Source organism: Homo sapiens, chromosome 13 (assembly GCF_000001405.40).
Source record: "Homo sapiens chromosome 13, GRCh38.p14 Primary Assembly".
Taxonomy (NCBI): Eukaryota; Metazoa; Chordata; class Mammalia; order Primates; family Hominidae; genus Homo; species Homo sapiens.
In genome coordinates, this window is record NC_000013.11 from 75804560 (window position 1) to 75818828 (window position 14269).

General features: G+C 39.7%; 1 protein-coding gene across 56 annotated transcripts in view; it reads left to right on the top strand.

Moving 5' to 3' along the window:
* LMO7 (LIM domain 7) overlaps window positions 1-14269 on the top strand; it is a 239437-nt gene that overhangs the window by 184126 nt on the left and 41042 nt on the right. For 17 of the 56 annotated variants that reach the window (NM_005358.5, XM_047430352.1, XM_011535095.3 and 14 more), the window contains 2 exons: window positions 4595-4624; window positions 12602-12719. In NM_005358.5, coding sequence (NP_005349.3) covers window positions 4595-4624; window positions 12602-12719 — 148 coding nt within the window. Of the gene's footprint in view, window positions 1-919; window positions 1202-1498; window positions 1703-2920; window positions 3641-4594; window positions 4625-12601; window positions 12720-14269 lie in introns of all 56 variants that reach the window. The other 39 variants (XM_047430323.1, XM_047430307.1, XM_047430308.1 and 36 more) reach the window with 4 other exon arrangements.

Below are 14269 nucleotides of genomic sequence, written 5' to 3' on the forward strand. Positions count from 1 at the left end.
TTATTGAGTTTCGTATGCTTTTCGAATATGGTAGGATGTTAAATGTGGTAAAAAGAATGGCTCTTAAATGTGTTTCATAGATCATATATTAAGCTTGACTAGTGAGAATATTTTTCATCCCTCTATTTTTAGTTATACATATCTTGAAGCCATTTCTTCTGTTTTAGAATGTCAGCATATGATTTGCTAGGTCTTTTTTTAGATGCATGACTTCAGTTTATTGGTATTTTTCAGCTTACCAGATAATTTGTATTGTTCATGATGAGCCATGCCATGTAATGTTTTTCCTTTTTTGATTGATCTTAGTGGACATGAAAAGAATCCTTTAATTTCTCAGCAAATTAGCAGAACAGAGTGTGGTTTTGCAAATCCAGCTTCCTCTCATGGGGAGGCGTACGGTTTTGAAAGTGGTTCGGACTCTGAGGATGAACGAAGGTTTCCTGACATAGTTTTGGATGACTTAGCCAACCGTAGATTCCAAGTGAAAAAGAGGCCCCAGAATTTCATCTCGAAAATCACCTATCCTAATTCTTGTCCGCAAATATTTTCTCCTGCTGATATGTTTGCCATGGGGCTATATGGACTGACGAGGTCAGAAATACTTGTCCTGGATCTGGCTGTCTATTATGCTGCTGATTTTAATTCAGAAAGTAACACCCCAAATTGTTTGTTATGTGCCTCTTCCTTTTAACACAGCTTCTAATGAAGTATCTTTGGCCCGTGTGTATCTAGCTATCCTTGAGTTAAAATGAGATGCTGTTATAATAACTTTGTCCTAGGAGCTGTGGTGGTGATGAGAATGGAAACTAATTTGCTTTGTTCACAGTGGTGTAAACTTTGTGAACCAGAAAGCATGCCATTTGTGTTCTGTGTCACAAATGCTCATACAGTGTCTTAACCGGTTGGATGTTTTGAACAGTAATCAGAGGAGGATTTGGGGCACCAATGTGGAGAACTGGCCAACTGTACAAGGAACTTCAAAGTCCTCTTGTTATTTGGAAGAGGAAAAAGCAAAGACAAGAAGCATACCCAACATTGTAAAGGATGATCTTTATGTGCGCAAGCTCAGTCCAGTCATGCCAAACCCAGGGAATGCTTTTGATCAGTTTCTTCCCAAATGTTGGACCCCAGAAGATGTGAACTGGAAAAGAATAAAAAGGGAAACTTATAAGCCATGGTATAAAGAATTTCAGGGATTCAGGTTTGTCGTTGTGCATGTTTCTGTCACACCAGTGTTCATTCAGTACCCCAGCTGGGGTTCTATGTGCATGTTTTTTATAATAATAAGAGAGACAGAGAAAGTCTAATTAGTTCTCTAGTATCTGCGGAACCTATATAATGGAAATGAATTTCTGTTTAAATTTAAACCTGAGGATCTAGATCTTAAAAAGCCCTGTTCTATACATAGTCATAGCACGGCATTATTTTTAGTAGTTCTGTTTTTCTCCAATTCTTTGTCTCATTCCCTCTTCCCTTCTTTTCTTCATGTCACTCACAGTAGAAGGAATTCAGACTCTGAGGATGAGGACTCAGGTTCTGACAGAAGCGCCACCGTTTTTAGTAGAGCACAAAAAGCAGAGCATAGGCTAGACGGCAACTGCCAAAGACCTTCACTCTTGCTGGAATTAGCTACCAAACGGGCTGTAAAATCACCGGACTCCCATGCAGCCAGGAGAAGCAGTAGTGCTTCGGATGAGCCCAGGTGCCCCTGTCTGCATGAGCCTGCCTGCTGCGGGTCTGGCCTCAGACAACCCTCTGCCTGCTTCTGCTGCTCCATTAGCCTGGGACCTGATTGCACTGAATCAGGAAACCTGACTCACTTAGTGGACTTAGTACAAAAGCGTAATGTATAACACGCTGCTTTCTGTGCAACTACATCAGCTTGGAAGTCTGTAGGATTCAACATTCTTCTTTAGCACAATAATGTGTGAGACAGGATATATTTACATGTGGCAGTTCTTTTGAAAAGCCGGTTCAAAAAGGCTTGTTAGAAAGTTTACCTAATTTCACGGTTTTGTTGTGTGTGGAGATGTGGAAAAAGGAAATAACTTTCAGGTGGAGACTGGGAAGGGCAAGTCTAGGGAAAATGCAAAGGGAAGATTCCTTGAGCTCTTTTATAAAACTTCAGAGCAATTTATTTTCCCTTTTTCCTGCTGATTACATATACCTATTGCATAAAGTGCATGATGCACAACTTGTGAAACTTTCAAAGATTATTCCTTCTTCTTCAGGGGACACTTAGGCCACTGTGGCAAATGGAATGAGAAAGGGATACCAGGGGCCAGGCGGGGTGGCTCACGCCTGTAATCCCAGCACTTTGGGAGGCCAGGGCAGGTGGATCACTTGAGGTCAGGAGTTTGAGACCAGCTTGGCTAAAATGGTGAAACCTTATCTCTACTAAATATACAAAAATTAGCCAGGCATGATAGGGGGCCCCTGTAATCCCAGCTACTCGGAAGGCTGAGGGAGATGAATTGCTTGAACCCAGGAGGCGGAGGTTGCAGTGAGCAGAGATGGCGCCACTGCACTCAGCCTGGGCGACAGAGTGAGACTCTGTCTCAGAACAAACAAACAAACAAACAAACAAAAAACAGGGTACCAGGGAGTGGCTTTTGTGTGTGCCTGGGAGGGGTACCTAGTCCATGCTCCAGCCCCATCCGTGGCCTCCATGGTGCCCAACTTTCCTGAGAAGTATGCTCTGCTCTTATTTCTTTAGGGATTATCCAGGAAAGTCATGGGTGTTGGATTAAATGCTAGTCTGTTTTCCTAGCAAGAGTCCCCACAATGGTCCTCTAAAATGATTTACCCTCAGTAACTGGCTAGTTGGTCTGCTAATCACCTTTGGCTAGTCGATCTGCTAATTACCTTTTCTCCCTAAGCTTAATAAGATTCTCTTTCCTTTTTCCTCTCTGTGCATCAGTCAGTTTTTACTGCTTCAGGCCCTCCAAACATACTCTGATGACATCTTGTCTTCTGAAACACATACCAAAATTGATCCCACTTCTGGCCCAAGGCTCATAACCCGCAGGAAGAATCTCTCTTATGCACCAGGCTATAGAAGAGATGACCTCGAGATGGCAGCCCTGGATCCTGACTTAGAGAATGATGATTTCTTTGTCAGAAAGACTGGGGCTTTCCATGCAAATCCATATGTTCTCCGAGCTTTTGAAGACTTTAGAAAGTTCTCTGAGCAAGATGATTCTGTAGAGCGAGATATAATTTTACAGTGTAGAGAAGGTGAACTTGTACTTCCGGATTTGGAAAAAGATGATATGATTGTTCGCCGAATTCCAGCACAGAAGAAAGAAGTGCCGCTGTCTGGGGCCCCAGATAGATACCACCCAGTCCCTTTTCCCGAACCCTGGACTCTTCCTCCAGAAATTCAAGCAAAATTTCTCTGTGTACTTGAAAGGACATGCCCATCCAAAGAAAAAAGTAATAGCTGTAGAATATTAGTTCCTTCATATCGGCAGAAGAAAGATGACATGCTGACACGTAAGATTCAGTCCTGGAAACTGGGAACTACCGTGCCTCCCATCAGTTTCACCCCTGGCCCCTGCAGTGAGGCTGACTTGAAGAGATGGGAGGCCATCCGGGAGGCCAGCAGACTTAGGCACAAGAAAAGGCTGATGGTGGAGAGGTCAGAGTGTGTTTCTGCAAGGATTTTGCTTGTAATGGATGGTCTTGTGTAACTTTTCTCATGCGAGAAAGCAGCTCATCGTGTTGCTCAACTCTGCATGTCGCGTGCCATTTTGAAGCATCCCGTAAAATTTAATTTGCTTTGAAAAACCCTCAGTCGTTTTGTACAAAAAGTGCAATTCCATATTTGCATATCTCTAAATAACTTATTTAGGCCTGTTTAAGACTGTATATACATAAACCTTGCCTTTGACTTAAGCAGTACTGTGGTACTATCCACCAATATGAAGTTTCTGGACTTCTCATGTTCAGGCATTTTTGTAACAGTCTGGTTATAGTTTGGTTTTATGTGTTGCTCACATTTTAGAGTGTCTGATTTTTTTGGGGGGGTGAAATTTTCCCTTAAAATATGGCATTGCAAATTTCATTTAACTTAATTTTTGGTTTTGGCCTAGGTTTCTTGGACTATCATTTGTAACTTATTTTTATTTATGAAGTTCAGAGTAAACGTTGATGTTAAAATGCATGAATGGTATTTGTTGTCTGCTGAATTTTATGTGTATGTAATCATGGCCATTTTGATAGTTTGTATTATGCAACTTGCCTTTTTGATGAATGTTCAGTTTGTGGAACTTAGAGATGGACAAATCTGATTAGGTTGAATAAAATTAGAGGATCCAAATCTAACTTAACAGTTCCTGACAATGGGAAGCCTTTTCATATGGATTTGTTAGCTCAGAGTAAATTGAGGAAATTCTTCATTTTGCTTAATCTGAATTTCCTGAGATAGGAAATTGATGAGAACTTGAGACATGATCAAGAATGTGATGGAAGAAGTGACCTTTTGAGATTTGTCCGTCTCCAGTTAGATTCTTAAGTGGAAGACATTGAACGTTTAGAAACTAATATGACTGGGAAAAATGACTTTTTAATTTTTGGTTTTCTGGTTTCTTAGACTCTTTCAAAAGATTTATGGTGAGAATGGGTAAGTTGTGTGGTTCACAGTAAAAAATCTGTGCGTGTTGTTTGTTCTTTGTATAACTTACTGTATTTCTGGCATGGCATGTCACTAAATGGGGTTGTTGTGTGCTGTGCATGATATTTTTTAAGTGGGAAATGTTTATCTTGCAACCTAATGGTAATATTTCTGTGTCTTGGTGCCCAGTGCAAGATAAAATTATTTGTTTTATTAAAAATTTAAACTTCAGCTTCATCCCTTCTTTTTTCCTTTTTAAAAATTTAATGAGTTGATTAAAAGTCACAAAAGCACTTGCCTAAGATTAGGTATATGTATTTTGGTATTTGGTTGCTACATAGACTAAAATTCTGATTTATGGATGCTAAAGCCCAAATTACTACATTTTAGAAAATCTGTGATGGAAAAAGAATATTAGCATTTACTTCAAGTTTAGAATACACCCAGTTGACATTATCCTATAATCGGCCAACTGGGAGCTTCGTTAGTAGGGATGCATTAAACTTCCCTAGGTGGTATTTGGAAGTATTATATTTTCAAGATTCCTGATTAGGAAAAAAAAGTTATAACATGGCTATATTTATAGTGCAAAATAGACCTTCAAAAACTGCAAAAATATTTTTAATTTCTAATATCACTGTTGCAAAAACTACATTTTTTTTTTTTTTTTTTTTTGAGATGGAGTCTCGCTCTGTCGCCCAGGCTGGAGTGAAGTGGCGCAATCTTGGCTCACAGCAACTTCCACCTCCCAGGTTCAAGCAATTCTCCTGTCTCAGCCTCCTGAGTAGCTGGGACTACAGTTGCATGCCACCACACTCTGCTAATTTTTGTATTTTTAGTAGAGACGGGGTTTCACCAGATTGGTCCGGCTGGTCTCAAACTCCTGACCTCAGGTGGTCCATCCACCTCAGCCTCCCAAAGTGCTGGGATTACAGGCAAAAACTACATTTACAGTAAATCATTTATTCATTCTTAGTACAAAATCACAAGGTGGCTATATCTTAATATTTTCCACCAAACTTTCTGTAACTTTGTGAATCTAAGGGCTAATAGTGTTTGAGCAAGAGGAAGAGAGTTAAAGGATGACAGATGTTTTAATCTGCTCAAGCCTCAGTAGCTAAGTATCTTCCCTTATGAGGATTTACTTCATCTATAAGAATCTCTAGTTTTGATAGCTTTTTATAACTTTGATAATTCAGAAATGTTGGAAGCTACTAAATGTAAAGCAGTATAACCATTCTAGATGCCAAAGGTGTAACTGAGCCACAGGCAACAAATTGCAAGTACTTGTTAGCCACTGATTTTAAAAACCAGGGTCCCTGCATGCTTTCCGTGTGCCATGCAAAGGCACATTATCCGCTTTCCAGCTCATCTGCATGATGCTTAAACATTTGCTACTCTCAAGTCATAGGAAAGCTGTTTTAACTTGATTAAAAATCTCTTTGCAGCTTTAAGCATGTTGAATTGTAACTTTCAGAAAAATTTTCATTTGTAAATTAAATATAACTTTATAATGTAAGCAGCTCTCAGAAATAGTTGCTTTTCTTAAAGGAAATAAAAGTACCCAGAGTACAAGTATGTGGTGGAAATGTCAACATGTACAACCATTTCAGTGGCTGGATGTGTTCCCTGTAGTGAGGGGTAAATTATATGACTGAGTTAGAGAAGAAGACAGAAACCTAAAACCAAAGCTTGAAAAGCTAAAGATTTTTCTGGATTAGAGCTAACAGCAGCAAATGTTTTCTATCCCAAGATAGTTGTTTCGGATAGTACAATATTTGTTTTAAAGGCTGTTGTGCATGCAGTTCAATGCCAAGGTAACTACACAAATAAAGCAAGATTGTCTGTAAATTGAGACTGAATAATATATGACATGTCAAACAGTGGGAAGTATTATAATATGAATGTGTCCTCAGAAAATTCAAGTGTGTTTTGGACCACTTGAAGTCAAATAAGTCAAATTTATAACAAAGGATTTCTCTCTAGTCTGTCAGTTACCACTACTTTTTCTTTTTCTTTCTTTTTTTCTTTCTCTTTTTTTTTTTTTTTTTTAAGAGATGGAGTCTTGCTATGTTGCCCAGGCTGGTCTTGAGCTCCTGGGCCGAAGCATTCCTCCTGCCTTGGCCTCCCAAAGTGTTAGGATTACAGATGTGAGCCATCATGCCCTGCCTACCGGTGCTTTTCTTAAGTAGATCTGCTGCAGTGAAAAGAAAATAGAAATTTAAATTGGATTAAGTGTAGGCTTTTAATCTAGAACTTGTTTCATATTTATGCTGGGTGATATTTCTCTGAACATAATGTACGTTGTCAAGCTTGGCATACTTACCTGGAAAAGCATTATTGCTCAACATGCTGTCATTGAAAAATAACTGCCTATAACATGAATGCTTTCTTTTTTGTAAGGACTGGGTTAAAGAGAAATGTGCAGTATCTTTTGAAGTCTGAGACTGTTAATTTCTGGCTTGCTCTTTGTTTGGCGTTTAACACCTGTCAGTTTGTCTGTTTATTTTTAAGACGCTTTGTATGTGGTAGTCGTTTCTTCTATGTGCTTTCGTCTTGCATGGATTTATGTCTGTATGGTTTCATGAAACTTGAAAATTTGGTCATGTGTTTTGGCAGAAGCAATTTATGACAAATTTTTTTGTAAGAATATATAGAAATAATCTTGTATGTGATTAAGCTGTTGAATCTGTTGCCAGTATTAATAGGAAATGAACACTGATTTCACATGAAGTTGTAATAAAAGACAATTAAGTCACCCACATTTCACTTATGGGTTTGGCCAAAAGATTCTGTAGAATTATAAAGGCTTATGACAGCAAAAAAGAAAGGGAAAAAAAGCCAATTTCGGTTATTTCTAGGGATTTCCCTCCACCCCCAGGAGACATTTGGCAATGTCTGGAGGCATTTTTTATTGTCTCATTGGGTGGGTGGGGGTGTGTGTGCTACTGGCAACTAGTGCCTTCATAGCCAGAGATACTGCTAAATGTCCTACAGTACACAGGAGTGCCCTACAACAAATAGTTTTCTGGCCCCAAAATGTCAGCAGTGGTGCTACTGAGGAACCCTCATTGAGACTATAAATCTATAAATGAAAAATCTACATCACATTGCCTTTTTATTATAGTGTATGGTAATTCCAAAGCCTCTTGCCCAAGTTTTAGCATTGATTGCTCTTCAGAGAATTCCTATAGTACCTGATGGAAATATACTTAGAGGTACATAAATCAGTATGTTCCTATCTCCCTCTGAAAGTTGGGGAGCCTTAACCCTAGTATCATGGAATTTCTGTTTGCCGTATAAGGCTATCCATGATTTTATATTTGAGAAAATTTGCCACATGCTGGTTCTTTTCGATCCTTACTCCTTAGATAGTCACCTATAAAGTTCCTGAAAGTGAGTTCTAAAAGGAAATGCCTTAAAACTAGCCAAAAAGTGACAGGAGCATAGTAGGCAATCTGCATAGTGGGAGAAGAGAGTAAGACTTTAGCAACCTTGTTTTATGATTGACACCTTCTTCCTTAAAGTTCCTCTTTTTCCTTCTAAATGTTATTTTTAAAAAATTCTATTCAACAGAAAGGCAAGATGCTAGATCTGTATTTTTTGGAAAAAATCCAGTTGCAGTTCTAAATTGGAGCCTTTCCAAATAAGGAAATACAAATGAAGCAGGACTTGTAAGAGACATACGATGTGATTTGCCAGCTAATCATCCTTCATTCAACACAACATACTAGAGCTGTGCAATCCTTCATAGTTTTCCCAAACAATTTTCCTGATGCTATCTTTGGTACTTATCTCAAATCTGTGAGGCCGACAGATAGGGATGTGGAGATAGAGAAACAAATATTGCCGCTTTCCCAAGGACATGTGGCTTGTGAGTGGTAGAACCAGACTAGGGCTTCGCCTCTGAGATAATTCACGTAGACTGCTTGGCGAGGTTGCTGGCACACAGTAAGCACTCAGAAGCTGAATATTATGCCATTAATGCTGATAAGGGAGGGAAGAATTCTTTGTGATCTGGCTGAGAGACTCCTTCCTCTACTACAAAAGTTCTGGATTTTATCACTGTGGTCCGGGGTGACCTCTCTGATTTGAAGCAGCTTGGAGAGTTAGCTTTTGGGAGATCCCAAACAATCATGTTTGCTTTAATGAGAATTAGTATATGGCCCAGACGGTTTTAAAAATGCTACCCACACAGCCAAATCCAGTTCTCATAACAATCCCTTCCTCACTTAGCAGGTGAGAAATGGGGGCTCGGAAGTGATCTGATGTGTGTTAGGGTGGGGTGAAAACTGGCACCATGGCTGGGCCTGCAGCCCTCCCTTCCTGGCTTGTTGCAGTGCCTGGCTCCAGCTGCTGTACAGTGTGTGCAGGCTTGATGTGGGTAACTTTTTGTACCCTAGGGAGTGAACTGTGCTCATGTTCCTGCCTTACACAGGGACTTGTCTACTCCAGAGTGTATTTGGTTCACTTTGTTCACATTAAGGACCACCTGTGTGCCAGGCTGTGCTCCGTGTTGGGGGCACCCAGGAGGAGGATGCAGCCTCTGTCTTGAGAAGCACATTTCATGGGAAGACACCTTAGCATTGCATGGTGTAGGAGGATTAGGGCCAAAGGAGAGCACCCCTGGGAGATGCTGGGCTTTCTAGCCTTCCTCCCATCAAAAGATTATTAAAATATTAGCATCCTTTTTTGTTTTTGTTCTGGAGTTTATGTAATCTCATGTGTTGAGTGTCTAGATACCCCTCATACCTGGTTCTTGAAAAATTTTTCCTGCCTCTTCTTAGTGAGTCTGTCATAGTATTAGTTCAAATAGCCTCATTCTTCATAGTATGACTTACGTGAATCTATATTCTCAAATTCACACAAATCAGCTTTATAAGTAGTCATACCTAGTTAGATATATTACATTAATAGATCCATCTATATTCATATATGTCCTCATATATTCTCTCAATATAATTTATTCCTTAATAGTCCTTAATAAATCCTATAAAACTTTCTTCATAGAACTGTGGATAGCCATAATAATCTTACAAAAAGAATTAGAAACATTTTAAGTATAGCAAATTTTGCTGGATTAAATGTGAGAAAACCTACCTCATTCTTACCGTAGACATTGAATGAGTATATCCTGCCTGCCTTGTGCTGCTAATATGTTTTCCTCCTAAGCAACACGTGACTTGTGAGGAAGAGAATCCAAACATGCACATGCACACACAGACACACATGCACTGTAACAGACATAAGGCTGAGGGTTCAGTACTATGAAAAAGGTATAGCTGAAGCAGTAGAGGGATTGAGAGGAGGGACAGAGCAGCTTTGATATGGATGAGCTGGGAAGACTTCATCAAAGTGCTGAATATTATCTAGATCATTAATTTAACACATTTATCGGGCACCTACTGCAGGCTGGGCTCCCCTTCAGGTACAGGTGATGTACCAGCAAACAAATCAGAAAATTCCTGCTTTATAATCTTACAGGGCAAGGCAAGTGATAGGTAAATAAATGTACATGATGGTGAGAAATGCTTTGAAGGAGAAAGGACTAGGGTGGGTCAGGGGAGAGGGGCATTTATTATTTCTGGTAAGGTGGTCAGAGAAGGAAACACAGAGGGCACATTTAAGCAGATGCCTGGAAGTGAGAGAGAAGCTATGTGGATATCTGGGTGAAGAGCATTCCAGGCAGATTGAATAGTAGGGGGAAAAGCAGGAGGTGTGAGCAGGGCAGGGAAGCCAGTTGGCTGGAGCAGAGGGAGTGGGGGCATGGTACTGATGAGCACAGAGAAGGAGGTAGGAACCAGGGATGGCGGACCTCTTAGATTTTGGAAGAACCTGTCTTTAACTCTAATGAAATGGGAAGAAAGTAGTGGGTGCTGAGTAGAGGTATACCATGATCTGAGTGCAGTCTGAAAGGAACTCTCTGGCTGCTGTTGGGTAGGAAGGGGTGGAAGCAGGGAGACTGTTGTAATCTAGGTGGGTGATGTGATGTGATTATTATAATAATTGTAATAATCTGGGTAGGAGATGATGTGATAATTGTTATAATCCAGGTAGCAGATGTGATTACTGTGATAATTGTGATCATCCAGGTAGGAGTCACTTGGATCAGGGTGTAATGGTGCAGGTGGTAAGAAGTGGTTATGTTCTAGATATATTTAGAAGGCAGAGGGACAGGATTTACTGACGGGACCAGTTATGGTATATGAGAGAAAGAGAAGAATCTGGGATGGCTCCAAGATGTGTGACCCAATGTTGTGAAGGATAGAGGTGACCTTTACTGATATAAGGAGAGTGAGAGCTGAGCAGGTTGTGAAGAGGACAATCAGTTTTTTATCTATGACAAACTTGAGACGCCTATTAGACTTCCAAGTGGAGAATGAACAGGAAGTTGGAAATACCTGTCCAGGGGTCCTGAGGTATGAATGGCATTTAAGAAGTTATGTATACTGGTAAAGGGCTTTTGAATCAGAGGAAATAGTTTAGGAAAGATGTTTGTTGAAACTGGAGGTTGGGTATTAATTTAAGAAGCCATTTTGGAAGTCTAGGTGAGTTGACTGTACTCTGATCTAGGGTGTTGGCAATAGAGATGGAAAGAAAGAGACACTGAATGAAAGGGCTTGATAACTAATGGAAAGTGGGGAGAAGGGAGAAACAAAGGTGAAAAGTGGTTGTTAGGTTTCAGATGTGGATGATTGGAGGGCAGGTAGCAACATTAGTAACCACAAGAGGAAAAGCAGGTTTGGGGACAAGATTGAGTTTGGTCACATCAACAATAACCATGCATTTAGTGAGTTACAGTTTACAAAATCCCTTCTAGATATTATTTTAATCTGTCCTTTGGCAATTGAAGTGCCTAGGGGATATCCATGCAGAAAGATTTATTCAAGAAGCAAGTGGAAATGAGTCAAAGGACGGACTGGTTCCTTAATTATGGCACTGGGAATAGTTTAGAAATTACAATTCCATGAGCTAGCTAAGCTAGGAATTCCTGAACTAGCTAAGAGCAAACATGCTTTAAAAGAAATAATGATGGCAACATCTTGGAAGGCAAAATTTAGATGCCCAGGCAAGAGGTGTACAGTTACTTAAAGTCAGGAGAGCAGTATAAAAGGTCAGTAGGAAAGAGCTTCAAAGGCTCTTGCTCTCATTCCTACTTCTCCTCAGTGTTTAGATCTGACCTCTCCCTTTCCTTGAGACCACCCTTAATCTCTCTTTCCCCTCTGGTATAGTTTACCTGGCTCTTTTATGTGCATGTAGAGAGCACACATGTGCCTGTGCCCAACACCCCACTCTGTTCATTGGTTTCTGTTGTGGATTGAGCTCTTCCAAAGCTTAACCTCAGTCCATCCTTGTGTTACAAGTTGAAAGCATGCAAGCTGCCCTAATAAAAGAAGAGGGTTATAGAGGTAGTATAAAGGACTATTAGAAACTACCTGTGGTGCGTTGAGAACAAGTCTAGTGCAGTGGTAGGGCGGATCTTATAGGATCTTTTAGAATCAACAGCACATTTATTCATGGTATTGAACTTGAGAAAAATATCAGGTAAACATTAAATTATTAATCAGTGCCCAGAAAAGGCAGCCAAACCTCAACAGATTATCTTTGAAGGAGATAGAAAATAAAGAGAGATAATTCTAGTGACTATTTTTTCCTAAAGTAATCCTTTCATGCATTGACCTCTTTAAATATGAACCTTGGGTTTTTGTTTGTTTGCTTGTTTTTTGTTTTTTTGTTTGTTTGTTTTTTTTGAGACTTGTATAGGGCTAATCTAGCCATTTTGTGAAAAAATTCACACTCGAGTGCTCTTGTTTCTGAGTTTTGGAAAAACACCATTTATCTCTGTAGTGCTACTTCTGTGACACTATCACTGAAGCGTCTAGGTAGAAATTTAGGTGGAATTTCCAAATTTAACTCCAACCTCAGTTTAACCCCTAAGTCTGGTCATGTGAACTTCCGTAGTAACCATGAGTCTTTTTGTTGTAGGAGTAAGTCCATGAGTGATGTCAGCGCAGAAGATGTTCAAAACTTGCGTCAGCTGCGTTACGAGGAGATGCAGAAAATAAAATCACAATTAAAAGAACAAGATCAGAAATGGCAGGATGTGAGTATTTTGGGGATTGGAGGGGAGAGAGTGTATTTGTCTAACTTTTCTTTGCTTCTCTTAAAGTCAATATACTCAAGACCATTTTCCTTGCTATTACAGAATTCAGTTCTGTATAAAATGTGACCAACTTTCTTTACAAAGATTTTTAAACCTTTTTTTTTCTATTATTATTGCATATTTTAAAGGCCATTGTGAAAAATATACCTGGATGTTTATTTTCTAACATTCTCTGAGTTCTCAAAAATGTGAGTTGCTTCCTTGCAGTATAGTGAACTTACTTACTTGTTTTGGTGGTTGAATTTGGGATATGCACATTAACTATACTCTAATGGGAAAGACCTGGCCAAAATTTAGGGAGAGAAGAGGAACAGGGTTCTGGCAGAGACCTTGGCATCAGTAAGGAAAGATGAAAAGGGTTAGTAATTAAGAGTTAATTAAGGAGAATTGGGGAGAAATAAGTAATATAACTCAGAGCAATATTTTGGCTGAAGAAGTCAATAATATGAACCAAAATGAAATGTTTTTGCAGAGTTGACATATATCCAGGTGTTTACATAGATATAGACTTACTCTTTAGTTTTGATCCTGAAGAAAAAAGCTTGACCATTTTTTTTAATAGAGTAATTGTCATAAACTGAAGAAATGCAAAGAAATACAGTAGACAAACTATCAGAGCAAACCCAAAGGAATTTGAGGACAACTTTATGGTAAGAGTTGAGCAAAAGCATGAGCAAAGGAGTCAGAGTAAATCTTAATTTTCAAAGGAATTAATAGTCTCTGAAATGAAGAAACCCCTGCTCTGGCTACCCTTCTAAATTCCAGTGCCTCTTTTAATTGGGAACTCAATTTAATTGTCAAGAAACAGTAATTCAATATCACTTTGCCAAAATACATGGTTAATTTTCTGGTGTGAAAGTAAGTATTACGGGCTTATCTATTAGGTTAAATCAGATAAAAATTCATGCCAGTTATGCTATAGGACTAAATGCGCATTGCTTTTGTTCTTTCTGCAAGGAGTTCATATTGGTCTCAGGCTGTTTTAAAGCAGGAGTGGCTCTGTGGGCTTGCAAGGGGTATAAATCAAACGTACTTTGCATGCCCTGGGGGTGAAATTCGGTTTTGTCTGAGACCTTGAATGTGCTTCTGTTTGGACTGGAATGCCACTAACAGTTCTTAGCAGTTCTCTATTTTGGAGACATGGAAAACTTTATACCTTGTAAAATGTCTTAACCCCCTGGGTGTCAGAACCAGCCTAGGTTTCTGGGGGGGATTGAAAAGCTGAATTAGGTTGATTGTCCCTGGGGTCACCCAGCAAGGTTAGGCTTAACGTTCCTGGGGATATGGGGGACAGGTGTTGGTTTGTTCCTGCCACGTGTTCCTTATTGCGCTGACCTAGGTGGACTTAACCCTTCTGAAATTGCATACTCAAGTCTCACCTTCCCAGTTAAAGCCTTTCCAAAGCCTTCCCTTCCGGAGGTGGAACCGGACCCATGGTCTTCTTAGGACCCCACTGTCTCATGCAATCCTGTCACACTTGTTACTGAACT